The 13033-nt window shown below is 34.5% G+C and overlaps 1 long non-coding RNA gene across 6 annotated transcripts in view; it reads left to right on the top strand.

The window, feature by feature from the left end:
- The window catches only part of LOC105377795 (uncharacterized), a 145951-nt gene that overhangs the window by 102163 nt on the left and 30755 nt on the right, over window positions 1–13033 (top strand). For 5 of the 6 annotated variants that reach the window (XR_941375.2, XR_941374.2, XR_001745767.1 and 2 more), the window contains 2 exons: window positions 2333–2442; window positions 8283–8431. This is a non-coding gene — a long non-coding RNA (uncharacterized LOC105377795). Of the gene's footprint in view, window positions 1–2332; window positions 2443–8282; window positions 8432–10141; window positions 10342–13033 lie in introns of those variants that run through there. The other variant, XR_001745768.1, reaches the window with a different exon arrangement.

Raw genomic sequence — 13033 nt, 5'->3', positions numbered from 1 at the left:
CTCTTAAAAAATTACTAACATAAAGACGATACAGGGAGCAATTGGGAAATATTAAGATAAAGAAAGTCCTAACATCCCAGCAGCCTCACATTTTCTTTCCTTGACTTTTCTTTTTGTAGTCTAGATCTTCCTTTGGGAGCACTTTGCTTCTTTCTCATGTACATTCTTTAGAATTTCCTTTAGTGAAGTTTTCTCAATTTTCTTTTGGCCTGAAGATGCCCTTATCTGCTATGTGAAGATTATTAGGATTCTTCTTAGTAAATTCTTTCCACACTTTCACTGTATCATTTTACTTTTTTCTGGTTTGTAGCGTTCGTCTTGAAAAGCCTACCGTTTGGTTCCTTTCCCTTGTAGGTAATTGTCCTTCCCTGGTAGGTAATTTTGCTCTTCCTTTGTAGGTAATCCTTTTAATGTTTTCACTTTGTGTCTGGTGTTCTGTAACTTAGCACAATTTGAGATCGTATTTTCCTTTGTATTTCCTTTTGTCTTCTCGGTTCATTATTTCTTTGAATTTTGCTTCTTCCCATGCCATTGGCACTTTCATAATCCATCCAGCTTAGTTTGCCCTCTTTCCCATGCCCTTTCATTCTCTTTACTTCTCATCTAAATTCTTAATATCTCATTTTCTCTGTGGGCTGCATTCTGTGTTGCTTCTGATTTAGCTTCTAATTCTACTGTCACCTTGTCTACTGTTCCACCTCTCCATTGTGATTTTACCTGTATTTATACTTGTGTTTTCTAAGATCTTTACTATTTTGGTTATCATAATACTTAATTTACTTTTAAAGTTTTTTTTAATACATATAAACATTATATTACATATCTTTTAATTATAATGCACCTCTGTAGGGGTGCTAGGGGCTATGAATCTGTAGTCTTTGTTTCTGTAGATTATTTCTCTCTGTGGATAGACATCTTCAATTTGTTCTGTAAAAATCTAGGCCACGTTTTGATACGTAATTTCTCTCCAAATCAACTTCCTTGAGGTAACAAAAAACTATTCATTTTTGAATTTTGAGATTTGTATACACCAACAAATCACAATGGAGAGCATGTTTATGTGCTCATTCTCATTGACCATTCATATGGTTTACGTCTCACGTACTGGTTCAAATATTGCCTCGTTTTGACTGTGTTGTCTGCGATGTTTTATTGAGTTGTAAGAGTATTTTTTCCCATTCTGTAGCTAGCTTTTTCATATTCAAAATGGAATCATTTAAGGAGAAAAATTTTAAAAATTTGGTAAAGTTCAAGTTGCCCATATTTTATTTTATGATTTATGCTTTCTATATACCATGTAAGAAATTTATTCTTACCCCTAACCCACAAGTATGTTCTTCCATGCTTTCTTCTAAGGAATGTTATCCTTTTAGGTTTCACTTGGGTTTATGATTCATTTTGAGGGCTTTTTTGGTGTTTTTGGTTTGTTTGTTTGTTTGTTTGTTTGTTTGAGACAGTCTCACTGTCCCCCAGGCGGGAGTACAGTGGTGCGATTTCAGCTCATGGCAACCTCGGCCTCCTGGGTTCAAGTGATTCTACCGACTCAGCCTCCCAAGTAGGTGGGCGCCTGCCAGCACGCCTGGCTAATTTTTATTTTTATTACAGACGGAGTTTCACCATCTTAGCCAGTGTGGTCTCGAACTCCTGACCTCAAGTGATCCTCCCGCCTTGGCCTCTCAAAGTGCTGAGATTACAGGCATCAGCCACTATGCCGTGTCTCTGAGTTAATTTTTTTATTTGCATGTTATACAGATCTAAGCTCTTTTTTTGGCATATGAATACTCAATAATTCCAGGATCATTTGTTGAAAGGACTATTGCCTTTGCACTTTTGTTGAAAAGCAGCTGAGTATATGTCAGTCTAATTTGAACCCTCTGTTCTGTTTCATTGGTCTATTCAATTGACCAATTGAATACTGTCCAGTCTTATTACTGTAGCTTTATAATACTTGAAGTCAGAAATGTACATTTTCCAACTTTGTCCTACTTCTTCTAAATAATTTATTGGCTCTTCTACATTCTTTGCATTTCACTGTGAATTTCATTATACAATAGTCAATTTTTACACAAAACCCATTGAGATTTTGATTTCAATTGTGTTGAACTTCCATATCTGATAAAAATTCATGTCGATTATGGACTGAATAGACATATTCAGTGTTCCTCCAAAATTTACTTGTTGAAGCCCTAATTCGCAGTGTGATGATATTTGGAGATAGGGCTTTTGGGAGTTAATTAGGTACGGAGAAGGTCATGAGGGTGAGGCCCACACGATGGGATTAGTTTTCTTAGGACAAAAGATCCCAAATAGCTTATGGTTTCTCTCTTTACAGGTGGAGACCCAGCGTGAAGGAGGCTGTGTCTGTAAGGCAGGGAAAAAAGCCTTCACCAGGAACCAGTGCTGGCACCCTGATGTCAGACTTCAAGCCTCCAAAGCTGTGAGGTAATAAATCTCTTCTGTTTAAGACACCAGGTCTGTGGTATTTTATTATGGTAACCAGAACTGACTAAGACAACATCCTAGCAACATTGAGGTTTTTGAGCCATGAATATGATGTGTATCTCCATTTTATTAGATATTCTTTAATTTCTGTCAGCAGTGTCTTATAGACTTTAGCAAATAAATCTTTCGTCAGATTTATCCTCAACATTTAATATTTGATGTTATTGTAAATTGTATTGATTTTTACATTTTAATTTCTAATTCCTTATTGTTAGCACATAAAACTAAATTTTATATGCTGATCTTTTATCCTGCAACTTTGAGGAACCCATTTATTTATTAGCTCTGGTAATCTTTTTTTGTTAGAATTAACATTTCTTTTTTGAATGCTGGGTGAAATTTACAGACATGGAGTCTTCTTTCTGAACAGGTTTTTAACAATTCACTTTATTAGAGATAGAACAATTTATATATTTTTCTTGTCATGTGAGTTTTGAAAGTTTGTGTCTTTCAAGAATTTAGTGCATTCCATCTATGTTTCAATTTTATTGTCATACTTTCTTGTAATATTTTATTACTGTTCTTTATCTACAAAATATATAGTAATGTTCGCTTTCCTAAAATTAAAATTTCTTGTTTTCTCTTTTTTGATAAGTTTTATGTGGAGGTTTACTGATTTTACTGCTTCTACTAAAGAACCAGCTTTTATTTCACCTTCTAATTTTATAGATTATTAATTTTTACTTTATACTTTTTATTACACTCATATAAATTTTTATTCTGAATATATAATTCTATGAATTTTTTTTTACTTCCAACACATTAAACATATTGCTTTGTTGTTTACATGGTTTCTAAGGAGAAATATGAAGTCATCTTTGTTTTTTCTCCTATGCCTTATTTCCTTGGTGGATTTTAAGAGATTCTTTTCATCACTGTTTTAAAGCAATTTGATTTTAATTGGATTTTATTCATATTTTTTGTGCTTGGAGTTCCTTGGCCTTCTTGGATCTGAAAGTTTCTAGTTTTCATCTAATTTGAAAAATTTTTAGCTAATAATTCTTCAGATATGATTTCTGCCATCCCTTCTATTTTCCTTCAGAAACAGCAATTAAACATATATTAAGCTCTTTATCTCATTTCTCACAAACACTTTTATTCTTTAGTCTCTTTTCTGTTTCACTAAACAGCTTTTATTACAATGTTTACAAGTTCCTTAATCTTTCATTCTGCAATCTAAGCTGTAATTCCATTCCCTGTGTTTTTCTACTCAGTGTTACTGTTTTCATCTCTAGAAGTTTGATTGATTGATTGTTTACTATCTCTCATCTCTATTTATCCTGTTCGGCCATCCCTCTAGCTTCTTGAACACATGGAATACGGTTATAAAAATTTATTAATGTGTCATGTCTCAGCTGATTTTAATTTATTGACTTTTCATTATTGGTTATGTTTTTTGGCTTCTATGTGTGCCTAGTAGTTTTTAACTTGTAAGCCAGTTGTGCATTTTACCTTTTGAGGTGCTGGATGTTTAAGTATTCCTATAAATGCTCTTAGCTTTATTCTTGGGATACAGTTAAATTACTTGGAAAGCTTTTTATACTTTTGGGTGTCGCTTTAAGCTTTGCTGGGAATCAGCAGAGCAGCATTTGCTTTATGCCTAATTTTGCCTGATTACTAAGGCAAAACCGTTCTGATTACTGTTCCTGATGTGCTGTGAATTATGATGTTTTCGGCTGTGACTGTGGAAGCAGGAATTATTCCTGACTCTACATGAGCTAAGGGGAGTGTTTCCTTTGATCCTTTTGGGAGATTATTTTCTTGGCTTCCTATAGTTTGTTTAGATGCCTGGGCTAATAAGAACTCATCTTAAGCCTCAAGACTCTCTTCAGATCTCTGGGTATCTCTCCCCGTGGCTTGCTCCTCTCTGGTGGTCTCCCCTCAACACTCCAGATTCCTTACCCTCTCTGAACTCCCACAGAGACCACCAGGTTCTGCCTGGGGGTCCCTCCTCTGTGCCGCAGCCTGGAATCTAACTCCAGGCATTAAGCTGGGGCAATCATAGGGCATATGTGCATCATTTGCAATCTCTGCAGAATCCTTGTCCTCTGTTCCCTGATGCCCAGGGTCTTGAAAATATTACTTCATACATTAGATCCGTTTGAAATTAATTATTTAGAGTAGATTGTAAATCCATTCTGTTATTACTTCATCTTGGCCAGCAAGCAGGTTTCACTTTCACTTTGAAGGATGGTCTTGCTGTATATGAACTTTTTGGTGCACAGTTTTTTTTCTCTCAGTGCTTTGATTATGTCTTTCCATAGCATTCCTGCCTACGCTATTCCTAATGAAAAGTCAGCCATTAGTCATATTTTTGTTCCCTTTTATACAGTAAGTAGTTTTTATCTTGATGCTTTCAATGTTTTATCATGTCGTTGGCTTTTGGCAGTTTGACTGTGAAGTTCATGTGTGTGAATCTCTGTTGATGCTACTTGGAGTGTGTTGAGTTTTTTAGACATGTACATTAATGTCTACCATCTAATTTGGGAAGTTTTCAGCCATTATTTCTTCAAATATTTTTTCTACCCCTTTTCCCACCTGGCTTTATCACATGTATGCTTGACATTCCTTGATGTGCTTTGTGTTTAACCATGCAGCTGTGAGGCTATATTCATTTTCTTTTTTCATTTTTCAGTTGAATGATTTATCCTGATCTGCCTTCAAGTTCATTTATCTTTTATTCTCTCATCTCAAATCTATTGAGTTCAAGTAAAATTCTCACCTTTTAAAAAGTATTCAATGCTACTATTTCCATAGATTTGATAGGTTCTTATTTTTTTCTCTTTTTGTTGAATCATTATTGCACATTTTCTTGTAATTATTTAAACATCCTCATCCATTATTTGAACATATTTGTATAGTTGCTTTAAACCATTATCTGCTCAATCCAACATCTGGGCCCATTCTGAGTTAATTTCTGTTGACTTTTTTTTTTCCTAATTTTGCATTCTTGGTTATGTTTTCTGTTTCTGTGCACACTTTGTAATTCTCTGAGAACTGGCTATTTTAGTTATTATACTGCAGCAGCTCTGACTTCAGAATTTTTCTCTTTACATTTTTGTTTAATATACTTGGACTTAAGACTCTGTCTTCCATGTTGTTTACAGTTGCTGAAGTCTATGCTGTTTTTGAATTCTTATTTTTATTTTTTAGTCTATCTACGGCTGGACCCTGTGACAGTGTAACTTAGTGGTGAGCTAATGATTCTGGCAGAGCTTGTGCTTGAACATCACAAGGCCATACATTTCCAGTCTCTGCAGATGGATATGTATGTGTGAGAGAGAAGTGGGTGGGGGAGCACATTACATGTTGTCAAAGTTTTTCTCAGCTTTTACTTTCCACTGGAAATTCTCAGTTCTCTCCTGCAATAGGCAAATTGTTTCCCACACAGCTAGGGGTTTGTGGAGAGCTTCGATGGCTCTCTGATGTCCAAGCTCTTCCTGTTAAATTTCTGGCTGTCCTTCACTGTTGCAACTAAAATAGAAATTAGGCTAGCAGAGCTGCACGTTTTCCGCATGCATTACTCACAGAATTTGATAATTTTACTGATGATGCTGTGGGTCTTCACTAACCACCTCAAGTAAAGTTTGCTTCCTCTCGTCTTTGTCATCAGCTCTGCCTGATAAAGTACCATTCTCTTCAACTAAATTTGGGGAAATGAGAGAAGCCCCAGGCAAGAAGCCCCCAGACGTCTGCTTTTCTTAACCAAAGCTCTACTGGCTCCTGAATAAAAACTTCTCAATTTGCCTTTTATCAATTTCTAGAACCTGGAATGTGGTGTTTCTGAAAATGCTATAAAGTGTGTGTGTGTGTCTATGGTTGGAGGATACTCACCAATCTCTTCACGCTGTAATAGCTAGAAATCTTATTTATCCTCTAAAGACACAGAAAATGAAAAGAATGTTATATGTATATATGGATACGGATATAAATATATATTAAACACCCTGTGATATAAGTGTGCCTGTGTGTATATATGATTTTCTTCTTGTCTGAAGAACTTTATTTTACCCCTATGTCAGTGCAGATATGTTGGTGATTAATTATTGAGGCTTTTTGGGGGTATGAAAACACTATTTTGCTTTCATTTTGAAAGATAATTTGCAAAGAACTCTAACTTAGCAGTTACTTTTCTTTTACACTGTTTTACCCTTGACTGCAAGGCTTGTGGCTTCTGATGAGTGATCGCTCACATTTAATTTTGCTTTTTCTATTTAATATGTAATACACCCACCATCCACCAATCTTGATGAATGCTTTTAGAGTTTTTCTCTTTATCACTGGTTTTCTGCAATATAATTATGATTGCCTTGGATTTTTTTTTCTTACGCTTATTCCGCTTGGGATTTGGTGAGCTTCCAGAATTTTGGATTGATAGTTTTAGTCAAATTGGAAAAAATGGTATTATTTTTCAAAATTCTCCTTGTGTCTTCTCTTTCAATTATATGTATATTGGACTATATGCTATTGACCCACAAGTGACTGATGACGTGTTTACCTTTTTTTCCTGAACTTTACTTTGCATAGTTTCTATTGCTATGTCTTCTAGTTTACTGGTTATTTCTTCTGGAGGATCTGATCTGCTGTCCATGCCACTCAGTATGTTTTTTCACTTCTGCTACTGTATTTTTTCTTATCGAAAAGTTCTATTCAGTTCTTTTAGTTTTTTTATTTGCTTCTTCATTATATTCATATTTTTCTCAAGCTTCTTGAACACATGGAGCCTATTTCTAATTGCTTGTTTTTGTCCACTGCTGCTCTATCATCCCTGCCATTTATGGGTCTCTCTGTATAGACTGACATCACTACTTTGTATGAGTTATATGATTCTGCATCTTTGAATGTCTTGTAAATTTTGATTGACTGCTAGGTCTGGAGAAGTTTACATTGTTATAGTTATGTTTTACTAATATACTGTTGGAGTTTGTTTTGGCATGCATTTAATTTACTTAGAATCCTTTTAAGACTTGTTTTTAAGCTTTCATGGGGTAGGGACAGAGAAGCCTTCAGTCTAGGGTGAATTTATGTCTCTGGAAAGGCAATAAATATCACTCTGAGGAACTCTTCTCATGTATTGTAAAGACTCTACTCAGTATGTTACCAAGTCCTCCACTATGGTTGGAGTCCCATGTGAGTTCTAGAGCTTGTTCAACCTAATCCTTTTTTATGGTTCTTTCCACATTTAAGATATTTTCTCCTTCTGTGTGCACATCAGTACTCAGCCAAAGACTCAAGAGAACCATCTGTGCATATCCAGAGTTTTCTCTGAGAATTCTCTGCTCTTCTGTGCTTTTTTTCTGCAAATCCTAGCTCTTTCCCCTCTTCTCAAACTTCAGTAAAAGCCTCCTCAACTCATGGAAACTACTTGACTGTGTGTTTTTCTGTGTGCACTGTAATCTGGAAAATGCCTCACAGACAGTAAATCGGTAGAAATGTGATTCACCTTGTCTAGTTTCCTTCCCTCCAAGATTAGAGTCCCTTCTTTTGTCAATATCTGCAGTATTCTGTAGAATTTCCTGGTTTACTATGGCTGCTGGATAAATAGAGTCTGTGTTGTTTTATATTGGCTGAATGTGGAAGTCAGCTTGATTGATGGTTTACTGTCAAGCAAGCTCAGATTGCTAGAAAAAAAATCCTATTGTTTGTATTATCTACTTTATAAATTGTATTCTATTTACTTATATTTATGACAGATTTTTACTTCTATAAACCCAATGGACACTGATATGTAACATTATTTCCCACATCTTTCTAATGTGTTTGTCTTTTTTTGATATCAGGGTACTGGTAGCCGCATAAAACAAGTTGGGGCATATTCCAACAAAATAGAACATTTTGTGAAAGAGTGTATATGAAAAAGTTACTTCTTCCTTGAATGTGTAATAGAATTCACCAGTGGAACCACCAGGGATTGACAATTTCTTTATGGGTAAGTTTTTTATAATTCATTCAATTTCTTCAATTTATTTTATTTTTGTGCTATATTGTGCCAATTTTCTTTTATGTGTTTATGACAGTATCATGCTGTTTTCTTTACAGTAGCTTTAGAAAATATTTTGAGATTAGGGAGTGTGATGTCTTCAGCTTTGTTATTTTAGCTCAAGGTTGCTTTGATGATTTGGGGTCTTTTCTGGTTCTAGATGAATTTTAGGATTTTTCTATTTCTGTGAAACAGGACATTGTAATTTTCATATAAATTATATTGAATCTGTAGATTGATTTGGGTAGCAGAGACATTGTAACAATATTAATTCTTCCAATCCATGTAGATAGGATATCTTTCCATTTATTTAGCCTTCTTCATTTTTTTTAACTAATGTTTTATTGTGTTCACTATACAGGTCTTTTATATCTTTGGTAAGATATATTCCTATTTTCTTTTTGATGCTTTTGTAAGTGGGATGGTTTTCTTAATTTCCTTTTGTGGATAGTTCATCATGTGCAGAAACACTATTGATTTTATATGTTGATTTCGTAACCTGTGGCCAAACTCGATTGTTTTCATTAATTCTAACCTTTTTTGGTGGAGTTTTTAGCAATTTTATATATGAAGTCATATAATCCGTAAACATAATTTCACATCTTCCCTTCCTATGTAGATATCTTTTCCTTTTTCTTTCCTGATTTCTGTAGCTAGGACTTCTGGTATTGTGTTGAGCACAAGTGGTGAGAGTGGGCATCCTTATCTTGTTCATGATCTTAAGGAAAACGCTCAGGGCTCTTTTCATTTATACTCTCCAATGCAAAGCAACCCATCTCTCCATTTTCATGTGTTCCTAAACCTGAAAAGTATCAACATGTTTTTGTCATCCATATGTGTTCATTGATGACAGATGTGTTCATATTTTTGGCCTTTTATAAAATTGGGTGTTTCCTTATTGTGCTTTGAGAGTTCTTCATATACTCTAGATAAAAATTTTATCAGACATGTAATTTGAAAATATTTTTCCAATCTCTGCTTTGAGATTTAACATTTATAACAATGTCTTATGATTATTAAACAATTTAATTTTCATGAAGGCCAACTGAAAATAAATTATTTGGGGTATAATATATCAAATATTTGCCTAACGTAAGTTCACAAAGATTTTCTCTATATGTTATTCTAAAAGTTGCATATTTTAAGGTTTGACATTAAGGCTTATGGTCAATTCTTAATTATTTTTGTGGTGTGACATTCTCATCAAAATTTACTATTTTGCATACAGGTAGCCAATTACTGCTGCATCCTTTATTGAAAACACTATCCTTTCTAATTTGGTTTTTACCTTTGTCAAAACTCAGGTATATTTTTCTCTACTCCCTATTCATCAGTTTGTCTCTATTTATGCTCATATCACACTTTTTATTACTTTAGTTTATAATAATCATTTATATTAGGTAATTTTTGTCCTTCAAATTTGTCTTTATTTTCTACAGGCGTTTTAGCTATTTTAAGATTTTTTTTTTAATTTGGTGGTTGGGTTTTGACTGTTTATTCTTTAGATCACTTTAGAACAAGTAGGGAAATGTGAACATCTAACAGTAGTGAGTATTCTTTTTGGCAATGTTACTTTTAACGTTTTTGGGTAGTGCCTTCCCCTGGTTGGTGTGGTTTCCTAAAGTTCATGCACTGATCACTACTCTGCTGCCTACTCAGGGTGGACCTTCCCACGAGATCTGGAGTTATTTCCCTGTGCCTCTCCTCTCAGAAATTCATCCTGCAAATTCTATTCAACTTGGTCTCCCTTGAAACTCAGCAACATCTCCTCAACTCAGAAACTCTGCCAGACTCAGCTTTAGTTTCCCCTACCTGAATTGCAGTCTGGAAACTCAAATAAGTAAATTGAGAAAATCACAGGGCTCATCTTAGTTTTCTTGGCTTGGTAATCACTGTTCGTTACGGCGTAATATCCAGTGTTTGAAAACGATTATTTGATATTTTCTGTTCACATTTCCTTTGTAAATCTGTACACTGTTACTATTTCTTGTTTCTAAAGGTTGTTTTTGATTGAAACCAAGTACTAAACTTGAAGTATAAAAATGTGAGCATACTAACTTTCCATCATCTACACTTATAAGTGACTTCAAGTGCTCTCTGCATGAATTTATCTGTGAAATAAGAACAGTAATAGATGCCTTGCTTAACTCCAGCATTTTTGACAGATCAAATGAGTGATGTTGTGAGACTGCTACTCAATAGTAACTCATTATACATTAAAAGGATGAGGATGGTGATGAAGATGATGATGAGTTATATTTGAAAGTATTCTATAACAAGATTAAATCTGTTTTTCAGTTTAATAAGAAGATTGAAGTTATTTTAATGACTGGTTGTCATTTATTTGAAAATTAAGGAAAATGTGCCTAGAAAAATGCTGTTGTTTATAAAAAAAAAAAAAAAAAAAGTAAAGTAAAACAAAACAAAACCAAAAGCAGAATGAGCATTTTTGCTTCCATGGTGAAAAAAAAAGTCACAGCTAGAGGAGACATGAAAACAGAAATAAGTAGTCTGCTAAGTACAGTAAACACACAGAGATTTGAAATCATTCCATGATAATTAAAACTCCATCAGATAAGGATTATTATCTCCATTTTTTTTTTTTTTTTTTTTTTTTTTTTTTTTTTTGAGACGGAGTCTCGCTCTGTCGCCCAGGCCGGACTGCGGACTGCAGTGGCGCAATCTCGGCTCACTGCAAGCTCCGCTTCCCGGGTTCACGCCATTCTCCTGCCTCAGCCTCCCCAGTAGCTGGGACTACAGGCGCCCGCCACTGCGCCCGGCTAATTTTTTGTATTTTTAGTAGAGACGGGGTTTCACCGTGTTAGCCAGGATGGTCTCGATCTCCTGACCTCATGATCCACCCGCCTCGGCCTCCCAAAGTGCTGGGACTACAGGCGTGAGCCACCGCGCCCGGCCTCTCCATTTTTATAGAGAGAGAAATTGAGGATTTTATTAAGCAGCTTGCCAGAGGTCACCAATAATAATGGTTGGCAAAATTTTTTTTTCCCAGGTGTGTCTAGCTTTTGAGATATGCCTTAAACCACTAAAACACACTGTAATTTCTCTCCCATTAAAGAGAGAGATACAAGTTGTGGAAAGAAAAATATATAACTTTAAAATATCTATGGCTTTTAAGAAATCCTCACTGATTTTCCTCTTACTTGAATCAAAAGCAGCCCATACATGAGAAGAAAATGTATTTATTTTCTTTAAAACACATAAACAGTAGAAATTCATTTCTATTATATTTACCAGAACCTAACACAAAGTAGATATTTAATAAAATTAGATGTTAAAAAATAACAATATTTTTTGTTGTCTAGGCTAATGATTGTTGTGAACTCATCTGACTTCAATACCAGATAATATAAGTAATTAGCTTAAATCTACTCTAAAGTTATTTTTTTCTGAATTATATGAAATTTCATTTTTTTTCTTGATATAAAAAATAATTTTAACTTAAAAATGCCAAAATATTAAATATTCACTACAAACCACTACCTAACCATGGCCTGTGGAGTTAGGCAGAAATGTACTCAAATACTTTTTTTCCCTTCTTACGTATGTATGTTCTTGAGCTCTTAATTTAAATGTTCTTAACTGAGATTTAAAAAAATGTATATGTAGCTGTAGACTAAATGTTTCTCTCTCTCCCCTTTTATATGTTGAAACCTTACGCCCAATGTGATCGTATTAGAAGGTGGGTCCTTTGGGAGGTAATTAGATCATAGTAGTAGGGCTCTAATAGTGAAATGTTCTTACAAAAGAGAGCCCCAAAAGATCCCTTGACCCTTCCCTGTGATGATGCAGGGAGAGGATGGGCATCTATGAACATGGGCCCTCACCAGACACCAAATCTGCCACCAACTGGACCTTGGACCTCCAGCTTCCAAAACGGTGAGAGGTGTAATAGAAGCCCAGGCTGACTTGGACATTATCAAAACATTTAGTAAAAAAATTTAGTAAATTATTATTTACTAAAAATAAGTCCCCTTTCTGCTTTTTGTGAAAAAAGGTTGAAGAACAGGAAGTCTGCAAACAGCATAAAAACTTTACAGAGCAGGACCATTGGGTGTCAACTTCTTCCTGATAATTATACCTTCCTGAATATGTGAAGAATTAAGATATGATTATTTTTCATAATGGCACATAAATAGACAAATGGAAAGATAAGGCAATAGATAATGAGAAAAATCAATGTTCTTTGCTAAATACTTACCAGGAAAGGATTCTTCTTATAGTTTTTACACATCAAGATGTTTTTTTTTTTACATAAATTATTAGCACTACTATCATCAATGCCTGGCAGACATGACTTTTAAAGCAAAAAGAACATATGACTAAGGTTTTACAAAGTGCCACTTCTTTGCAAATATAGGTAATATGCATGAAAATATTTACCCTGTAAGCAAAGTAGAGAAATAATTTTATTAAATTTTCAACTTGCAACCCTCAACTCAGTAGACAAATACACATCCTATCTCTATTTATTCTAAAAGAATGCAAATTTGTCGTAGTTCACAAATAGAAAGTGGCAATTTTCCTTGGACA

The sequence above is a fragment of the Homo sapiens genome, chromosome 8 (assembly GCF_000001405.40).
Source record: "Homo sapiens chromosome 8, GRCh38.p14 Primary Assembly".
In the NCBI taxonomy this organism is placed as follows: domain Eukaryota; kingdom Metazoa; phylum Chordata; class Mammalia; order Primates; family Hominidae; genus Homo; species Homo sapiens.
Note: the sequence above shows the minus strand (reverse complement) of the source record. Positions and strands in the feature narration are given on the sequence as shown.